The sequence below is a fragment of the Homo sapiens genome, chromosome 16 (assembly GCF_000001405.40).
Source record: "Homo sapiens chromosome 16, GRCh38.p14 Primary Assembly".
Classification (NCBI taxonomy): domain Eukaryota; kingdom Metazoa; phylum Chordata; class Mammalia; order Primates; family Hominidae; genus Homo; species Homo sapiens.
The window spans coordinates 84525904-84546154 of NC_000016.10; the positions used below are offsets into that span (position 1 = coordinate 84525904).

At 48.8% G+C, this 20251-nt stretch overlaps 8 annotated features.

Annotated features, from left to right (window-relative positions):
- Positions 5524–5737: a silencer, noted in NCBI's record as "fragment chr16:84565033-84565246 (GRCh37/hg19 assembly coordinates)". NCBI's record gives its function as "represses an EF-1alpha promoter that drives an FKBP-Casp9 reporter gene in an ReSE screen in HepG2 liver carcinoma cells {active_cell/tissue: HepG2}" and the evidence as "EXISTENCE:reporter gene assay evidence [ECO:0000049][PMID:32094911]".
- Positions 5851–6528: an enhancer, noted in NCBI's record as "H3K27ac-H3K4me1 hESC enhancer chr16:84565360-84566037 (GRCh37/hg19 assembly coordinates)". NCBI's record gives its function as "activates a minimal SCP1, AML or CMV promoter by ChIP-STARR-seq in primed H9 embryonic stem cells {active_cell/tissue: H9 hESC(primed)}" and the evidence as "EXISTENCE:reporter gene assay evidence [ECO:0000049][PMID:30033119]".
- Positions 6020–6314: a silencer, noted in NCBI's record as "tiled region #8267; HepG2 Repressive non-DNase unmatched - State 22:ReprW, and K562 Repressive non-DNase unmatched - State 20:ReprD". NCBI's record gives its function as "represses a minimal TATA promoter and a strong SV40 promoter by Sharpr-MPRA in HepG2 and K562 cells {active_cell/tissue: HepG2 | K562}" and the evidence as "EXISTENCE:reporter gene assay evidence [ECO:0000049][PMID:27701403]".
- Positions 6529–7207: an enhancer, noted in NCBI's record as "H3K27ac hESC enhancer chr16:84566038-84566716 (GRCh37/hg19 assembly coordinates)". NCBI's record gives its function as "activates a minimal SCP1, AML or CMV promoter by ChIP-STARR-seq in primed H9 embryonic stem cells {active_cell/tissue: H9 hESC(primed)}" and the evidence as "EXISTENCE:reporter gene assay evidence [ECO:0000049][PMID:30033119]".
- Positions 7208–7884: an enhancer, noted in NCBI's record as "H3K27ac hESC enhancer chr16:84566717-84567393 (GRCh37/hg19 assembly coordinates)". NCBI's record gives its function as "activates a minimal SCP1, AML or CMV promoter by ChIP-STARR-seq in primed H9 embryonic stem cells {active_cell/tissue: H9 hESC(primed)}" and the evidence as "EXISTENCE:reporter gene assay evidence [ECO:0000049][PMID:30033119]".
- Positions 15160–15454: a silencer, noted in NCBI's record as "tiled region #4738; K562 Repressive DNase matched - State 5:Enh". NCBI's record gives its function as "represses a minimal TATA promoter and a strong SV40 promoter by Sharpr-MPRA in K562 cells {active_cell/tissue: K562}" and the evidence as "EXISTENCE:reporter gene assay evidence [ECO:0000049][PMID:27701403]".
- Positions 18244–18745: an enhancer, noted in NCBI's record as "H3K4me1 hESC enhancer chr16:84577753-84578254 (GRCh37/hg19 assembly coordinates)". NCBI's record gives its function as "activates a minimal SCP1, AML or CMV promoter by ChIP-STARR-seq in naive H9 embryonic stem cells {active_cell/tissue: H9 hESC(naive)}" and the evidence as "EXISTENCE:reporter gene assay evidence [ECO:0000049][PMID:30033119]".
- Positions 18746–19245: an enhancer, noted in NCBI's record as "H3K4me1 hESC enhancer chr16:84578255-84578754 (GRCh37/hg19 assembly coordinates)". NCBI's record gives its function as "activates a minimal SCP1, AML or CMV promoter by ChIP-STARR-seq in primed H9 embryonic stem cells {active_cell/tissue: H9 hESC(primed)}" and the evidence as "EXISTENCE:reporter gene assay evidence [ECO:0000049][PMID:30033119]".

The following is a 20251-nucleotide window of genomic DNA, read 5'->3' on the forward strand; positions in this document are numbered from 1 at the left end:
TAATTTTTTTTGGAGACACGGTCTTGCTCTGTTACGCAGGCTGGGGTGCGGCAGCACCATCACGACTCACTGCGGCCTCAACCTCCTGGGCTCAAGCGATCCTCCTGCCTCAGCCTCCTGGGTAGTTGGTTCTACAGGTGCACGCCACCACACGGCTAATGTTGTTGTTGTTGTTTTGGTTTCGTTTTTTAGAAACAGGGTTCTGGCCAGGTGTGATAGCTCAGGCCTGTAATCCCAGCACTTTGGGAGGCCAAGGTGGTGGATCACCTGAGGTCAGAAGTTCGAGACCAGCCTGACCAACATGGTGAAACCCTGTCTTTACTAAAAACTACAAAAAATTAGCCATGTGTGGTGGCGGGCACCTATAATCCCAGCTACTCGGGAGGCTGAAGCAGGAGAATCACTTGAACCCGGGAGGCAGAGGTTGCAGTGAGCCAAGATTGCGCCACTACACTCCAGCCTGGGCAGCAGAGCGAGACTCCAAGTCAAAAAAAAAAAAAAAGAAGAAAAAGAAAGAAAGAAACAGGGTCCCACTTTGTTACCCAGGCTGGTCTTGAACTGGGCTCAAGTGATCCTCCCACATCTACCTCCCAAAGTGTTGGGATTACAGGTGTGTGCCACCATGCTGGCCTGTTTGTTAATATTTTTGTCCCTGCCCCAAGGACACCAGCGTAATGGTTAAGATACTTTACCCTCACAACTCACTTTCTGCATTACTACTAAGCATCCCTTGGTTGTGGAAATGAAGGTCCAGGGAACGGGTGGCCATTTGCTCAGAAGAACCTAAGAGGGGAGCTTTCAGAGCCCCTGCCTCCAGAAACTGCCTCGAAGGCTCTCTGACCCCATCTCTTCTCCCTGAGCCTATCCTTGAAAATCACAACAGCCGCAAGTGATCAGGCCTCCCACCGCAGCCCTGTGTGCAGGGCAGTGTCTCCGCTCCAGACTGGAGGAGGGGTGTTTCCTTCTGCTCTTCCATCTCCTTCCTGCAGCCACGTGGACCCCGCCTCTGCTGCTGCCTTTTGTCTGGCAGCACCAGCCGGGCTAACGGTCTAAGCAGATTTCGTGCAAATCCCCGTCAGAAAGCACAAATCCACCCGGTCAGCACAACCAGGCAAGGGCTCCCCCTGCACACACGACAAGGAAGGGGGACCTTTCTCCCGCTCAGGAGAGTCATGTGATGCCTCGGGAAGGGGCAAACGGGTCCAAGCCTCAGCACACACCCACAGTGGAGGCCACAGCCTCGGAGAGCCCCGGGCGGACTGTTTTCTTTGTTAGGACTTAGAGTTCCCAAAGTCCTTCCAGTCCCTCTGCCAATCCCACTGTGGAGATGACAATTCCAGCCGCTCGTCAGCCCACAAGCTGGAAAACAGGAAAAGACGGTGGCTATTATTTTTGAGACTATGTTATTAATGACTCCGAGGGCTTTCCAATGGTGGCAGGCGGCCACGCTCACGGAAGCAGGGTGAGTCCTGGGATGTTTGATGTGCCCGTGTGAATCTTGGATGACGTGGTTAGAAGGAAGAGAAAAGACTCTCAGATTGAGCTACTTGCTGCTTTTGAGTCAGTATTTCTTTGAATGCTCAGAGGCCTCTTGCGGAGAAGAACGACGCCTGATTTCACAGGCGTGAAAATGAATGCTCAGGAAGATCCAGCAACTTGCCCAAGGGCACACAGCGAGGGGGGGCCGGGGCGGGCAGGGTGGGCAGGGACTCCAGCTGAGCCTCCTGGCTCTAAGCAGAGCAGACTGCTTGGCAGGGCACCCAGGAACAGATTAAGAGAATTTTCCAACAAAGTTCCGTTCTTTGAGCCAATGTGGATTTGTTATCTTAAAATATGTTAATAGCAGGCATGCGCATTGCTCTATGTGCCAAGCACTATTCTAAGGCCTTTACCAGCAGTGACTTATGTCATCATCTCCACAATTTGATGAAGCAAGCTCAGGTATTATGCAAATATTATATATGAGGAAATCAAGGCACAGAAAGGTGGTCTGACTTGCTCGAAATCACACAGGAGGGGAGGAGCTGGGGGCTCACACCTCGGATCTAACTCCAGAATTGATGTCCTCAGCCACTGCCCTAGATCACAGAGAACAGAAAGGAGACACCAAGAAAAGAGAAGTGGGTTGGGCTGATGCCCAAGGTCACTCACTGAATCACATGACAGAGCAGAAATCCTGAAGGCCTGTGCGTGGGGCAGCTCGTTGTAAAGTGCTCCCCATCAGCCAGAGGCAGCAGAGCGTGGGGACAAAGAGCTGGGGCCAAGGAGCCACGCTCTGCACATCCACTGGCTGTGTGACCTGAGCCAGCTATCTAACTAGCCTCACTCTCCCCATCTGTAAGATGTGGGTGGGTGACACCTGCTTCAGACTTTGGGCACCTAACGAACAAGAGCTCCTAGGACAGTGCCCGCTCTTCCTAAGGGTGCAACAGGGCATCTCTCATAGGCCTGTCTTTCTGCCCAGTTCCATACACCTGCCAGACCACCCCCACCTGACCCCTCTTTGAAAGCTGGAGTGAATTTGCAGGGATGCTGCACCGCCTGCAGAAGCTGCCAAGCTCACTTAGCGCCATCCATATATGGGCCACAGGGGGCTTGTGATTTCTGCCTATGGCTTTTATAAAGGTCATAAAGGGGTCACAACTGTTTCTGTGGGTTACTTCTCTCACTTGGACACCCAAACCCTCGATGTTCATGACTTCAAAGAGGGAACTAGTGTTTCAGCTCCTCCCGTGCTGAAACCGTGAGTGTGAAGACTTAGGAGCTAGAGACAGAAGGTGCCTATGGAGAGCGTGTCTCATTTCTTCATTTTCTTTCTTTTCTTTTTTTTTTTTTTTTTTCTTGAGACAGGGTCTCACTCTGTCACCCAGGTTGGAGTGCAGTGGCCCGATCTCAGCTCAATGCAACCTCCACCTCCCGGGTTCAAGTGATTCTCCTGCCTCAGCCTCCCGAGTAGCTGGGATTACAGGCATGCACCACCGCACCTGGCTAATTTTTGTAGTTTTAGTAGAGATGGGGTTTTGCCATGTTGGCTACTCCTAGGCTCAAGTGATTCCCGCGCCTTGGCCTCCCAAAGTGCTGGGATTACAGGCATGACAGCCACCGCACCTGGCTGTCATTTCTTTATTTTCTCATTCACTCATCCAACAAATCTTTCTGGAGCACCTACTCCTTGCTGGGCACCAGGCTAAGCACTGCCAAAGTGTGGTGATGGACACGGTTTCTGCCACTCTAAAGGGAAGATACCAGCAAACCCCATATTATGCACATAATCCCTTAGTCACAAGTGCTGAGGAGAAAAACACCACAGGGCCCACAGGGTATATAACAGCTGGATGGCAACCACTCAGGGAGAAGAGGGGCTTCCTGAGGAGGTGAAAGACCAGCTGAGACCTAGGAGATGGAGAGGAAAAGATGGATGAGGGGAGAGAATGGACATCAGTCCAGGCTATAGGGAGGCCTGGGGAAGGAGAAAGAGCCATGTGGAGAGTCTAAAGGAAGCAGGTGTTCGTTGGAGAAGAGCAAGCCAGGACAGATGTGGGCAAGACCAGCTCAGGAGGGGCCTGTAGGACCGCGTTCTCAGAGCAATGGGAGGGGCTCACAGGTTTCAGCAGTAAGTGTCATGCTGAGCTATGCATTGTAGGAACGTCACTTTGGCTGCTGTATGGGAATAGATGGAAAGAGTGGAACCCAGTGAGGAGGTGTAGGATGGCAGGGGCTTTGACTAGAGGGCTGGAAGTGGAAGGGAGCTGGACTCGGTGCCATCAAGATGCCTCCTGGGTTTCTGGAATGTACATCTGGGAATGTAGCGGGGTCCTTCATTGAGACAGTGACAGGAACGGGTTGTTGTTTTGCAGCTCCCTGTCTACTCAGTTGTTTCTCCACCAGAGTCATCAGATGCAGCCAAAGCTGCATCAAGTAGCATCTTCAAAGCCTCTGCACTGTATGTAAACCATCAAAATGTGGAGACAGTTGCTATGCTTGAGCAGAGTGCTGGTGATTTGGGACTGATCCACCACTACATTACAGAGGGCCTGGAGGTCTTGTTATTTGCAAAGCAGAACTCCAGCTTGAACTCTTGACACTTTTAACAGAACCACTGTATCTTTAGCTCTTGGCATCTGAGTTTCCTTTCCCAAAACTTCTTTCCTGATCAGCAGGGTTATTACAAGTGGCGGTGACGTGCAGTACCTTGATGATGTTTGCCATAAGCCTGTGGGAAAGGGCCTATTATTTGCTCTACTTTGCAGTGACAGAAACCAAGGCTCAGAGATGATAATGTCTGGCCCAAGACCATGTGTCTAGTAAGTAGCAGATCTGGGATTCCAGGACATGCCAACTACTTCCTGTGTGCCCTTCCCCACCCATTCTCGATCTTTCTCTTCTCTGCTCTCCAGCCCGGAAAGCTGATCTCTAGGATCTCGTCCCTTAGGCTCCCTTGGATTTGGCCAGTGGGAGGCACTAGCAGGAGCTCAGAGGCTGGCAGGAGACAGAGGCCAGGGCACCCGTCACCCTCCCCTCAGCGCCACTCACACTGGGTTTGCTTTCAGCAGTGGCTCCATTCTTCTGCTATGGTCTTGGCTCCTGTCTGTAAACCTCATCCCATGCTGCGTCGCTGGCTCGCAAACTCCCTGACACCATTCTCTCCTCTCACACCTGCTGCAGCTTGCTGGGTGCTCTGGCATCCTGTTCTGGTCCCTCTGACCTGCCCATCCTCTCTGAAGAGACTCTTCAATCCTCTGGGTGTGTCACCCTTCCCTGATGGCATACGCCCATCAGACGGTCATCAGCCACTGAGAAACCTTGAGCCACACAAGAGAAAGAGTACGGGCTTTGGAGCCAGACAGTCCTGGGTTTCCTCATTGAGCCTCGGTTTCCTCATCTATGCAATGGGCACAGTAAGAGTTGCCTACCTTCTTGTCTTTCAAAGTGTGGTCACAGACCAGGAGCATTAGCATCACCCTCCAGCTTGACAGAAATGCAGGTGGGGCTGAGTGGCATGGCTCACACTTGTAGTCCCAGCACTTAGTTAGAGAGGCTGAGGCAGGACAAGTGCTTGAGCCCGGGAGTTTGAGACCAGCCTGGGCAACATAATGAGACCCTGTCTCTATAAAACATTTAAAAATTAGCCAGGCAGGGAGAAAAAAAAAGGAAATCCTGACTCTCAGCCCCCAACCTGGGACCTGCTAAATCAGAGTCTACATTTTAATGAAATCTCTAAGGAATTCATGTGTACATTAATTTTTGAAAAGGCCAACCCCACCTGAAAAGACTTCCGATTTGGATTAAATAAAATTTAAAGTTCCTGGTACATTTTGATTTTGATAAAGGTTAATTTTCTTTCCCCACCCTTCCTTTCTGCCCCCACCATAATGTAGAAACTATTTTTTTTGAGACAGGGTCTTACTCTGTCGCCCAGGCTGGAGTACAGTGGCACGATCATAGCTCACCACAGCCTCAACCTCCTGGGCTCAAGCGATCCTCCCACCTGAGGCTCCTGAGTAGTTGGGACCACAGGCGCATGCCACCATACCCAGCTAATTTTCCTATTTTCTGTAGAGACGGGATCTCGCTATGTTGCCCAGGCTGGACTTTAACTCCTGGTCTCAAGCGATCCTCCCACTTCAGCCTCCCAAAGTGCTGGGATTACAGGTGTGAGCCACACCCAGCTGGAAGGTAGAAACTTTACCCTCCTCCTGATGTGCCCTCCTAATAAACCCTGAGGAGCCGGTAGCTGCCTGAGTGCCTGCACTTGACATGCATGATTGCATTTCATCTCACAGTGCCCCTCAAAGTAGAAATGATGGGCACCATGCGACAGATGAGGAAACAGATGCTCAGAGATCTTGCCCAAGATATCTGTGGCCAATACACAAGTCAGATGCATGGCTTGTCCCAGTTCACTGTGGTGGAGGCAGGTCTGGAAACCAAGTCTGTCTGACAGCACAGCCCTTGTTCTCACCAGTACGTTCTGCTCCCTTTGTCATGAAGCCTGCTGCAGTTTGGGATCGGAGTTGGTTCACTGCGTTTCTAAGCATCATGCCTGCTCATGCACTCATTCATTTGCTCATCCATTCACTCCTTCCAAAGGCTGAGAGACGTGGTATCCTTCCCAGGTGAACAAGTCCCCGGCGCCACCCACACCTCCGCCCCCAGGTCAGTCTTGACACTCCAGATGAACGCACCCTCCAAGCAGACAAGCCAGAACCTGAACAAAGGAACCCAAAAATGTTACCAACTTGCAAACTGATTGCAACTTGAAAATGTATTGCAGCTTGACATTTATTGAAAATGACTGCAATCTTGGCTGCTGGGTTTGCATTTTTGGCAAAATGTCCCTTTAGTCCCCTCTGCTTGCTGAAATCCCTCCATTCTGATTCTCTCATTCACAAGCTCAGCCAGGGCACTCACTGGGAGGGTGAATGTTAACACAAGCAGTGACCTTTCCAGAAAAGAATGACCATTCGCCTCCGCATTCCCGAGAGGAATTCCCCAGGAGCAGCCGAGGAACTTGGTACCATTTCTAAAAGCACATTCTTGGCTGCTTAACATCTCATGTCCATATTTGGGAGTTCTTGTGTCTTGTTGCATTCATGTGCGGTTCCCTTTCAGGGCAAGGCCTCAGCTCCAGGCTATCTGGGTCGTTTCCTGCCTGCGGCCCAGTAGGAAGAGAGTTAGTGGTGGCTTCTGACAATCTCCATAGGAGGGATGTTAGAGCCAAGGCCAGGGCAGGAAGGAAGCTGCCAGCTAAGCGGCTACTGGAAACTCCCGCTGAGGATGCGGCACCAGGAACACAACCTTATGACTGTCAGAACATCATAGCTGCACATTCATTTGGCAAAATTTAGAAGCGTGTTTATTTTTTTTCCTTATGAAAGTAACATAACCACCTTCCAGAAGAGAGAAGCAAGAAACCTCACACAGATTATGCTGGGAGTCCCGAAGACCACCCTCACATTCATAGATTTGCTAAAAGAATTCATATGGGCTTCGGCATATTCAGGTAGCTGTATGTGTGGCTAAGATTTATTTACAACAGTGCAGTAAGGATACACAATCAGCTCAAAAGGCGAAACCGTAGAGTTGGAGTCTGCAGGAGTCCATTATGAGGCTCTCTCACGCCCTCCCCTCCCCAAGAAGGGTTGCACAGAGCACATTCCGTCCCCATCAACAAAAATGCAGCTGTGTGTCTGCAAGGCTTCTGTCCAAGGAAGCCCATCAGAGACTCAGCACCCCAGAGTTTTTCTAAGGGCTGGTCAGTTGGCACCTTCTTCTTAGCAGGTACCAAATTCCCAGCTCCCGAAGGGAAGCACGTGTTTAGCACGAACCACATTGTTTGTGGTCTAAGCACAGTGAACCACTTTTATCATTTAGGAAACAGCTCAAGTGCCAAGTTCCCAGACACCAGCCAAGAGTCAACCTAGCAAGCAGGTCTTCCGAAAGATAGCAGTCTCAAGCCTGCTATACTAACTTCTGTCTGCACAACCACATATATGCAGCTGGAATACGGCCACCCCTAGCAGTTCTGTGAATCGCCCTCCTTTCTTTCCTTTTTTTAACCTGTGACTATTTATACATCTTAATTATAATCTTGTCACATGAAGTGAAGCAACACAGAATTATACAATTTTATATTTTTTTTCACTTGATATCATAATTTTTTTTTTGAGACAGAGTCTCACTCTGTTGCCCAGGCTGTAGTGCAGTGGTGTAATCTTGGCTGACTACAACCTCTGCCTCCCAGGTTCAAGTGATCCTCCTGCCTCCACCTCCCAAGTAGCTGGGACTACAGGTGCGTGCCACCACGCCTGGCTAATTTTTTTTTATTTTTAGTAGAGATGTGGTTTTGCCATGTTGGCCAGGCTGGTCTCCAACTGACCTCAAGTGAACTGCCCACCTCAGCCTCCCAAAGAGCTGGGATTACAGATGTGAGCCACTGCACCCAGCCTCATAACATAACTTTTAGTGGCTGAAATCATGCACGCATCCCACCAGTATTTACTAAATGAGTGATGTTCTCTTCAGTAGATGTTCTGTGATTTATTACAGTGCATGGTTGTCTCTTTGATGTTCACTCTTTATGCACCTATTGTGCAAGCCTGAAAAACTAGGTGAGCTCTGGTCACTAAAGAGCCAGGGGAAACAGCATTATTTCAGGTATGATTAACAAACAAGCCTGATGTGAGCCCCAGCCAGGACTCTAGAATGGATTATTCAATGGAGGACCTGGAAAGCGGGAAACACTTGGAAAAGAAATCATTCATGTTCATGACGAAGTCACATGAATTAATAATAATATTAGTAATTTCCATCACTACATGCCAGGCAACTTTATCGAATGATTTCCAGATCATTAAAGATCAAATTATCTCCCTATGCCTCATAGCCATCTTGGGGGGATAAAGAAATATTATTATTCTCATTTTCCAGCTGAGGAAAAGGGAAGCTCAGACAGGTTAAGTGACTTTCCCAAGGCTACAGAGCCCATAAGTGGAGATGCTGTGACTCAGATCTAGACCCATTCACAACCTAAGCCTGATCTCCATGACACTAAGAGCACCATGCCAACCTATTTCCAACAGGCTACAAAAGGCTGTCAACCAGGAAAAGGCAACAGACACAGTGAACCTGGATGTCAGATGGCTGGCAAGGTCTCTCATTATTTCCTTGACATTTAATCCAGTTAGGTGGGTTCCAAATTGTTGCAAGACAGCCCTGAATGGGAACCTACTGATTCATGGGCAGGACTGATGGCCACCCAAGGGGGTGACATGTCACAGGGCTATGGGCTCAGCATGTCCTGGCCAACAGTCTAATGAGCGATCTGGAAAGAGGCAGAGAGGCAGGCTATCTCTGATACGCCCATGCCCCATCAGCCCTCAGCATGGTGCCTAGATGCAATGTGCTCCTGACCTGGGCAGACACAGCCAGCTAAGAGAGCCCCCTGTATGGTCACCGCTGACTGATCCCCTTCCACTCGGAGCCCCAGCAACTCGGATGCTGCACACAGAACGGTTTTATCCAATCCAAAATCATCTTCTTCTTTCTCCTTCTCCCCCTCCTCGCCCTCCTTTTCCCCCCATTCCTCCTCCTCCTCTCCCCATTCCTCCTCCTTCTCCCACTCCTCCCCTCCTGCTCCTATTCCTTCTCCCCTTACTCCTCTTCCTTCTCCCACTCCTCCTCCCTCCCCTTCTTCCTCCTTCTCCCCCAACTTCTCTTCCTTCTCTCACTCCTCCCCCCTCCCCCTACTCCCTCCTCCTTCTCCCACTCCTCCCCCTCCCCCTCTTTCCCCTCCTCTTCCTCCTTCTCCTTCTTCTTCTCCTTCTTCTTTTCTTTTCTTCTTCTTTCTAACCTAAGAGTTTATAAAGAATTGGAGGGCGGTATTTGAAACCACCATGGAGAATGAGTACGGTATTCAGTTAATTCCAGTTAATTAAACATAATATAGCCAAAGCTGCAAGTGTTTGGACACATTAGCAAGAAATGTCAGGGTCCTGCCTGGCCCCTCTCACTGCATTGCTGATACATTTGGTGAAGAGAAAGGCCTATGTCTCTTTGTCCTGATCTGATCTGGACTCCTCCTCATCATCCCGCCTGTGTTAGTGCCTTTTGGATTCTTGGACTGTACCATCTGCCCTACGAACAGCCCTCCCTGGGCCTTGGGCCCCGTCTGCTCTTGGGCCAGTAGCATGGAGTTTAAAGGCGTTTGCTCCCATCCCCCCAAAGGCTCTCTGTTGACCACCTGCCCCAGGAATGCCTTTTCTTTCATGTTGTTTAGTCATGCCGAACTTTCTCTGTCCTCTGAAGTTTTACTGCCTATAGCTGCCCCTTTGATGTAATTCTAGGCAAGATTTCTAAATGCTGATATAGGAGTTAAGAAGAAATTAGGCAGATAGTAACGGTATGGGAGTTCGCAGTAAGGCTTTTCTTTTAAACGAAAAGCAGCCCCAAATTATTTTCTTTTCTAACAAAGAGCAGCCTGTAAAATCGAGTTACAGACATAGATACTGGCAGTTGTGCCAATCATCTTAAAGATGGAGGCTCCATCTTCCTTTGTCTTTGTCAGCCACCTGTGCAAAGGAGCAGGCAAGATGGCACAATCAACTGGGAAGTCCATTTGTATAATAAGTTTAGGGTGGGGCAACCAGACTTCCCTGTACACTACGTAAACGTCATACATGATCGAACCAATCTGTAAGCCCTACGTAAATCAGACACCCCCTTCTCCAGCCTGCCTATAAAATCTGATGCGGTCCGCCACCTCCCCCTTTTTTTCCGACGTTCTCTCTCAAGGAGCTGCTCTCCTCTCTTCTTCCTTCTATTAAACTTTCCACTCCTTAACTCACCCACATATGTCCGTGTCCTGAATTCTTTCTCCGCAGGAGACAAACAACCCCAGGGTGTATACCCCAGACAACATAGCCATTTCAATGCCTTTCCTTCACACGGGAAGGCCACCTTTCCAAACAGGACAGTCTTGCTCAAGGTTCTTTTGGTTGCAGCCGACATAAACCCACGGCGGCCTCCACGGGCACGCAAGCTACCAGCCGCACAGGCTCGCATTCAGAATGGCTTCATGCTTTGTTTCGGGTTCTGCTGCTGCCATATTGAAATTCTTAACACATTTTGAACAAAAGGCCCCACCATTTCCTTTTGCATTAAGCCTCTAAGTTCTGTAGTTGGCCCTGCATAAAGCCATTCTGGTAACTTGGATTACCAAGGGGAGATTTACGAGAAGGACAAGGGGTGTCTCTCAGAACCCAAAGGTGAGAACTGGAAGCAGGGCCTGGAAAACCAGAGTCCAGGAGGCCGGTACTCGCTCACAGTCTCTCTCTCCCTCTGTCTCTACTTGTGCTTCATTTGTCTTATTCTGTTTTTTTTTTTTTTTTTTTTTTTTTTTTTTAGATGATGTCTTGCTCTGTCGCCCAGGCTGCAATGCAGTAGCGTGATCTCGGCTCACTGCAACCTCCGCCTCCCAGGTTCAAGCGATTCTCCTGCCTCAGCATCCCGAGTAGCTGGGACTACAGGCACACACCACCATGCTCGATCAATTTTTGTATTTTTAGTAGAGATGGGGTTTCACCATGTTGGCCAGGCTGATCTCGAACTCCTGACCTCAGGTGATCCGCCCACCTCGGCCTCCCAAAGTGCTGGGATTACAGGTGTGAGCCACCGTGCCTGGCCCATTTCTGTCTTATTTTCTCTCTGAGAGAGACAACACGGCTGCTGGCCCCACCCAAGACTCCATCTCCTTTGTCCCAGATATCAGACCCAATGGCAATTTCATGAGACAGAGACTCTGATTAGCCCAGCTTGGGTCAGGTGTCCAGCCCTGGTCCAATCAGCTCCACCCCACGGGGCAGGGTCCCATAGTGCCAACAGGGCGCCCATATGGAAGCAGGAAACAGTCAGCAGTTTGCAAAAAACAGATTCGCCTTGAAGTTTCCAGGAAACACATTTAGCCAGGCCCCACCCCACCCGCTGCAGCAGCCCCAGACTCACTGCCCAGCCATCTCATGCTGACTATCCTATGGGCGCCCCTTCTAGAAATGCCCTCAAAATGTGTTTGGTGATTGATTAATTGACCATTGGCCTCAAGCCCATTTCTAGCTGAGCTATTGACTTTTGTGCTGGGGGTTTAGAGAAAATCCTATCCTCTATTGTCATTTTCTTTCTCCTGTTTAAAAACAAAGCAAAGCAAACAAACAAAACTCCTTCACAAGGAGGCTGGGAGGGCGCACAATATAGACAGCTGTGAAAAAGGCTGGTGTGGGGAGAAGCTTCTCTCTCTCTCTCCATGCACACAATGTATATTATCTAAGGCTGTGTCAGCAAGCTATATATCTTTGACCCTTCAAAGTCTGGCTCTTTGTAACTCATTGCAAAGAATTCTCTTGGGGGCACTCAGTTCTGTGAGGGACAGATAGCCGCCTCTCCCAAGGAAGCGGATTCGACTCTGGGAGATAAATCTTCTTCGCTTCCTTCCTCTCTGAGACGATTATGAAGAAAGTGCTCCCATAGTCCTGGCAGGAACAAAGGCCCTGTGTCCAGAGAGGCTCCCCCACCCGACCTCTCATGCATTATGAATGGGGCCTCAAGATCATTTCACAAGCTTTTCACGCTCCGAAATGGCCACTCCCCAGCCTTAGGCTGCCCAGCTGTCGGAGACCCCTTGGCCCCTTCAGGGCTATGTCCCCCATGGCTCCTTCACGCCAGCCCCAGGGGACTGACAACCTCTCAGCCATAAATGTCAGCCAGGCCTTCTGCCGATGCCACCGGGGGATGCGGAGGGTAATCGGGACATGCTCTGTTGTCCCATCAGTAAAATTATTAGGAATTTCAAAGAATTAAATCCCAAGCACAGGCCCTTCTGAGTGCAGGGCCCTTGGCTGCTGCCCTGGGAGATAATTACCCACGAGACTGGCCCTGACTGTAGCTATAATTTCAACTTATCCATCACCCTGATTCTTTGACTCAGGAAAGTTATTCATTAAATAAATATTTTTCTAAGAATTTCAGAGCATCCACTAAAGCAGACCATAGATCTGCACCATAACCCAGCATTTTCACTGTGTATACACCCAGAAGGGGGATGTGTGTGGATAAGGAGTTGAACTAGAATGTTCTTTGCAACACTGTTCACAATAGCCCCACATTGGAAACCACCCAAATGCCCATCAATAGTAGAATGGCTAAATAAATGTGGTCTGTCCAAGTGATGGAAAACCACACAGAAAGAAGAATGGCTTCAAACTACACACAATATGGCCGACTCTCACAAACAATACGGAATGAAAGAAGCCAGACACAACAGCGTACACAGCATATGGTTCTGTGCTGTTGGAAGTTCGAGTCACGCTTACTGTTGAGGGTGACTCAATAGGGGGCATGAAGTGGGGCTTGGGGGCTGACACTAGTGTGTTATTGACCTGAATGCCATTGCATGGTTGTGCTTAGTGTGTGAGTGTTCTTGGAGCTGTACACTTCAGACGTGTGCACTTCTCTGTATATACTGTATCTCAATAAAAAATAAAAGTTGCTTCTCAGAATGGGGGCTTAAAAAATAAAAATAAGGCCGGGCGTGGTGGCTCATATCTGTAATCCCAGCACTTTGGGAGGCCAAGGCAGGCGGATCACCTGAGGTCAGGAGTTCAAGACCAGCATGGCTAACATGATGAAACCCCATCTCTACTAAAAATACAAAAATTAGCCGGGTGTGGTGGCACATGCCTGTAATCCCAGCTACTCATGAGGCTGAGGCAGGAAAATCACTTGAACCTGGGAGGTGGAGATTGCAGTGAGCCGACATCACGCCACTGCACTCCAACCTAGGCAACAAAGCTAGACTCCATCTCAAATAAATAAATAAATAAATAATACAAATCAAAAAGTAAAAGTAAAAGATAAATAAATAAACCTTTCTAGAGGGCTCACTGTGAGAAGCCTTAGGGAGGTTAAGGAGCTGACTCTGCCCCTCCTCAGTGCAACTCTTCCTTCCAGTCCTTGGTTTCCTTTGACTGCAGCTCCCTGACAGTAGATGTGATTCTGCGACACTCAGAATACCTCCTGGAGTACAGAGGTACGAGAGTGAACCAGTAGGCTCGACGCCCTAACGTACGGTGCCTGGATGTCCTTTTTGAATCTGTTGATGGTTTCTGTTTAGGTTCTGTTAACATTGGATGAGCACCCAATGTGCCAGGTCCTGGGGACACAAGGATGAGGAAGTCCCTGCCCTCAAAGAGCTCAGGATCTGGAGAGAAAGGACCCCTCAATTAGAGTCCAGTGTGTTAAATGCCCCCCAGGGAGACTCGGGAGGATGAGGGAGGCTGGGAAGATTCTACAGGCCCAGGGAGAGAGGCCAGTGGAGAATGAGGGGTGAGGGGAACTCCCAGTGGCTCAGGACCCACTAGGCCTCAATGTGCGATGGGCATCAAGAGGCTGAACTTGCTGGCATCAGGGGTCCTGCCAACACTCCTCAGAATCTCTGATTTACAGTATCGGGGTAGTCACATGAGAACGAAGCTCAGCTACAAGTGCACACTACAGCATTGTTTAAAACAGTGACAAAATGGAAAGCAAGCTACGTTTCCAAAGATGGAAGATTAACCCAAAGAATGATAGAGGGGCCAAATGAGGGGACTCTGGTAGAACCTGGAAGTGATGCTGGGGAAGACTGTTTCATGATTCTCAAGGCCCATGGATGAGCTGGGATTTGACCCTCTGTGAAAGCCCCCAGGTGAGCCTGCTGCAGTGCCATGGTTGCTGGCAGAAGACACGAGCCTCCTGGGTCAGAGACAAGTGACTTTATTACTCGCAGCACAGCAAGTAGCATGAGCTTTATGTTTGCATCGGTTTCCCTTGTCCCCAAGTCCCACAGGGGCCATGCAAAGGGGCCCGGAAGGGGTGGGTGTTGCGCACACAGCACATTTCTCACAGCTGAGGATCCCTGAGCTCAGGGAGCCCAAATTTCTTATAAGAAATCCTGATCCTTGCCCTGGGGGCAAACATCTATCTATATTGGACAGAAAACAAATTTGCCCTTTGATCTGAGGGGACACACTGTCTCTGTCTAACAAAGTTGTTTGCTATATAAACATCCTTGTAAAGATAGTTCTTCTACTTGCAAGACATGTAGAAACCTGAGAGACCCATGGAGAACTGTCTCCCAACAATGACACAGAAAGAAAATTTAGGCCGGGCATGGTGGCTCACGCCTGTAATCCTAGCACTTTGGCAGGCTGAGGCGGCTAGATAACCTGAGGTCAGGAGTTCGAGACTAGCTTGGCCAACAAGGCGAAACCCTGTCTCTACTAAAAATACAAAAATTAGCCAGGCATCATGGCATGCACCCAGCTACTTGGGAGGCTGAGGTGTAGTCCCAGCTACTTGGGAGGCTGAGGCAGGAGAATCACTTGAACCCAGGAGCCGGAGGTTGCAGTGAGCTGAAATTGCTCTACTGCACACCAGCCTGGGTGACACAGCAAGACTCCATCTCAAAAAAAAAGAAAAGAAAAGAAAAAATTTAGAGTCGCCAAGAAACAGATAACAAAACAGTATACATGTGTGAATCTGCACATTTGGTGTCTGCATGTGCATATTACGTAGGCACTAATACAAGCCCAGCAGAATATTCCCACAAATGTTCACAGGGGTTCTTGCTGGGCTTTCGTTCTATGATGAACAAAATAGTGACCATTGTACCTAGTAATCAATAGCCAACCCTTGCTATATGTTTGTAACATTCCAACCCCTGTTCTGAGCACATTACAGGTATCACCTCATTTAATCCTCATGACAAGCTGTGAGTCAGGAGCTGTTTATCATCTCCATTTTCAAGATGAAGCAAACCGAGGCCTGGAGTGGTCACTCAGTGGGGATTGAGTAGAGTTAGGATTCTGAATCCAAGTAGTGTGGCTGCAGGCTCCATCCTTTTTTTTTTTTTTTAGACAGGGTCTCATCGTTGCCGAGGCTGGAGTGCAGTGGTGTGATCTCAGCTCGCTGCAACCTCCGCCTCCTGGGCTCAAGCGATTCTCCCACCTCAGCCTCCTGAGTAGCTGGGACCACAGGCGCACACCACCACACCTGGCTAATTTTTGTAATTTTTGTAAGATGGGCTTTTGCCATGTTGGCCAGGCTGATCTTGAACTCCTGACCTCAAGTGATCTGCCTGCCTCGGCCTCCCAAAGTGCTGGGATTACAGGCATGAGCCACTGTGTCCAGCTTCATCCTCTTAAAACCACATTCCTTATGCCTTGAATAAAGCCTTATTATTATAGCAGAAAACGCCCTCTTTCCAGCAGCCTTTTATTTATAGATTTAATAAGTCTAAAATAGAAAGACAGGAATTGTTTTCTCTACTCAGAAAATTAAGTGAATCGAAAACCGACCGTAGTGGAATATGACGACTGTGTAATAACAGGCAAATGCAAAAATGATCACATCAAATGGCAGTTTATATAATTTATATGAAGCAATATTGCAAATTTATTTTAAAATACATATGCACAGGAAAAAAGCACTAGAACAAGATATACGAAGCTATGACTGTGTTTGCTTTAGGGGGCTGAACTCTTGGTGAATTTATTTTCTTTACTCCATTTTCTGAATTTTTCATAATGCAGTTATAGTTCTTTTATAATGAAAACAGTTATAAAAATGTAAAAAACAAAATGAAACAATGAAACAGATCTTGGGCTAGTAGAGAAAGCGAAGTCTAATCTAGACTAAAGGCTGTAAATTGGCCACTAGCAGGTCTGACTTGCCTGAAGAATGTTTTGCTTGGCTGAGTCTTTGTTGTTTAAAAAAATATATGCATTAGCCTCTGTCACTGTAAAGTCAGGAGATTTCAGATAAAACTCCATCTTTCCCTGGACGCTTGTATTCCTATGACCCAGCAAGTCCACTCCTAGGATATACGCAATAGAAATGTACACACCAAAAGCCTAGAATGTCCTAGAATGTTCATAGCAGCTCTCTTCATAATAGCTTCAAATAAGAAACCACCCCAATACTCATCACAGTGGAATGGGTGAATAAATAGGGGTGTAAATTTGTGAAAATCATGTATTGGTTGATGTCTTCTGTCTCCCCAAAACATATACAACCAACCATGAAAAACTGTGCAAAAGTTGAGAAAGAATGATTTACAACTAAACCCTAAATTTGTATGGAGTTCAGACACGACGGGGAGGGAAAGCAGCCAGACAAAAAGTCCACCCTGTGTGTAAAACATTAACACAAACCAGCAAAGCCAAGCTCAGGTGTTAGGTCCAGGCAGCGGTCAGCTCGGGATGAGGGTGGGGGCTGTAGCCTCAACTTCCCAGGCTCAAGCCATCCTCCCACCTCAGCCTCCTGAGTAGCTGGGACTCCAGGCCTGCACCACTATGCCCAGCTAATTTTTAATCTTTTTTTTTTTTTTTTTTTGAGACAGAGTTTTGCTTTTGTTGCCCAGGCTGGAATGCAATGGTGCAATCTTGGCTCACTGCAATCTCCTCCTCCCGGGTTCAGGCGATTCTCCTGCCTCAGCTTCCCGAGTAGCTGGGACTACAGGCATGCACCACCATGCCCAGCTAATTTTGTATTTTTAGTAGAGACAGGGCTTTGCCATGTCGGCCAGGCTGGTCTCCAACTTCTGCTCCTGACCTCAGGTGATCTGCCCGCCTTGGCCTCCCAAAGTGCTGGGATTACAGGCGTGAGCCACCGCGCCCAGCCTTTAAATTTTTTTTTACAGTGATAGGGGTCTCATTATGTTGCCCAGGCTTGTCTCAAACTCCCGGGCTCAAGTGATCCTCTTGCCTCAGCCTCCAAAAGTGCAGGGATTGCAGTCGTGAGCCACTGCACCCAGCCCATATTTTTTTAAGTCAACCTACTGTGTGATTTTTTTTTCTGCCTTTCTCAGCATAACTCTAAGCAATAATGTCCACGAAGTCAGGGTTTCAGTGAGCTATAGAGTTCAGCAGTCAACAACACAGACAGTGGATCCAGAATGTCTAGGTTTAAAGCCTGCATCCTCTACAGTTGTGTGACTTTGGGCAAGTTACTTAAACTTCTTGGTCCTCAGTTTTCCCATCTGTAGAATGGGAATAATAATAATACCACATATCACAGGGTGGCCGAAAGGATTAAATGAGTGAATTATGTAGAGTTCTTAGAACAGCTGTGGGCATGCAGTGGTGTGCTGGTAACTGTTTAACAATGGCTTGGAAGGAAGGCCTTTACTGATTTCCAATTTCCCTGGTGTAAACACTTCCATTGTGGCTGATTTCAGGCTACCAATGAGAGGTCACTAAAGGTGGTTTTGGTAAAGGGGCCACTAGGTCATCCCAGGGTTGAAATAAGCAACTCTGTGACCACAGCCCAGATGTGCGTTTTGGAACAAAACCTAAGGAACCGTGGACAAGCCTTCTGACTTTAACTCTCTGGTTTGTTTTACGAGTCAGGGTCTCGCTCTGTCACCCAGGCTGGAGTGCAGTGGCACCATCATAGTTCACTGCAGCCTCGAACCCCTGAGCCCAGGTGATCCTCCCACCTTAGCCTCTTGAGTAGCTGGGACTACAGGCATGCCACCACGCCCAGCTAATTAAAAAAAATTTCTTTCATAGAGACAGGGTTTTGCCATGTTTTCCAGGCTGATATCACACTTCTGGGCTCAAGTGATCCCCCGCTCCAGCCTCCCAGAGTGGGATTACAAGCGCGAGCCACTGCGCCTGGCCTAGCCTCTGACATTAACTCTTATAAAAACACTGGAAAAGAAATATGACTCATGGGAAATTAAATAGCTGTCTTGTCCTTATAATGGATTCCTAGGGGTTCCCAGAGCACTCTGGGATGTGTGCACAGGGTCCTCCCTGCCAGGTGTCCCCAAGGGGAACATTCATTACAAACAGCGTTCACGCCACCTTCCTGCTTACCTGGTGCCCTGGCCTCGGCCGTCCCCTACCTTCCCTTTCTGGATTTATTAAAGATTCTTTTTACTTCTGTACACGTAACTCATGGAGGTGCCAGTTTGACCTTTGGAGAAATCTGTGTACAGCTCATCTCAACTTTCCCCACTTTTTATGTCATGAAGCCTGATCTACACACAGTTCGGAATTGCCCCCACACTCCCCCGCAGTCATTGTCACACTGCCAATATTTTACAACGGGAACGGAACACCTGTTTGCCGAGCACCCACGAGGGCCCAGGCATCCTCTTAGGTCTGGAACAGAGAAGGAAGGAAGCCAACGAAGCCACCCCCGAACACCGGCATCTGACAGAGGAGGCAGGCGGCGCCGGAGAACCCGAAGCAAACCATGTCATTGCAGCCCGAGACTCCTGCAAAGAAAATAAAGCAGACGAAGGGGCCTGGAGGCCTGAAACCTGGGCCGGGGGCATCAGGGGCTGCACACACCCTCATTTCACACCATCTGGGCATTTCCTCTGTGCCCCAGAGTCCCCAGGATCATTTCGTTTAAATGTGCAAAAATGAAATTCAATTTCTAACTGCACTCCGTGTGCTTATGAAGTAGTAGAAAACTCGGAAAGGTGGCACTTTAGGATAATTGACCTCGTTCAGGCTCAAAAGCCCCTTTGGCCAGTTCCTGGGTAAATTCAGGATTTGCATTCCATCGGGGCTATTCTCGGGTGTCCTCTCCTCCTGGCTGACCCCTGAGCCTGAATCCTGGGATTATTTTTAAAGCCTGGATATCACGCTGCTTCATGGTGCCGTGCAAAGCACTTGGTGTTTCCGTTACAGGGGGGACACCTGCCTGCTTCCAATTTTCGGCACTATAGATGATGCACGCTGCTGTCTCTGGAGGAATGTCACAGGATAATAGCTCATGTTCGAGGACTGCTTAGCCGGCCTGAAAGTTTTTGCAAGTATTAACTTATGTAATTCTCCCAACTCTCCTTGAGCAGAAGTTGCTATTGTTAGCTCCATTTTACAGATGGAGAAACTAAGGCACGGAGAGGTGAGGTGACGATAAGTGGCAGAGCTGGGATCTGAAGTGTCACAGAGAAGGGTGGGGAGGAGCTGGCACAGAGAGAAACAGCAAAAGTGGATTGCCTTCGCTCCATGCTCAGGACAAGTCTCCCTCTGATTAAGTGCACTGTGTTGAGAGGCCCCTGGGGAAGGTCTCAAAGCCATCACCCACAGCACAGATGGTGGAAGCTGGCACCCCTGCCATGCTGTGCTGGAAGTGTGCTTTGGTTACAGCCTGTGTGAAGGGCGACTTGACAGAGGCTGTCTCCATGTCAAAGGTGCATGTCCTGACCAGGGGCGGTGGCTCACGCCTGGAATCCCAGCACTTTGGGAGGCCGAGGTGGGTGAATCTCCTGAGGTCAGGAGTTTGCCAGCCTGGCCAACATGGTGAAACCTCGTGTCTACTAAAAATACAAAAATTAGCCAGGCATGGTGGCAGACACCTGTAATCCCAGCTACTCTAGAGGCTGAGACAGGAGAATCACTTGAACCCAGAAGGCAGAGGTTACAGTGAGCGGAGATCGCGCCACTGCACTCCAGCCTGGGACAGAGCGAGACTCCATCTCAAAAAAAATAAAAAATAAAACATGGTGCACGTCCTCTTTTGACCCTCTGCTGGCTATCTGTCCTCGGGAAATACCTGCCCATGTGCATGAAGAGGCATGGATGCTTATGCAGGGATGTTCCTTGCAGCATTGTTTGCAACAGTAAAGAATTGGAAATATCCTAAAATGCTCATCAGTAAGTGAGTGGTTAAATGATGGTACATTTACACTATGGAATCTGTT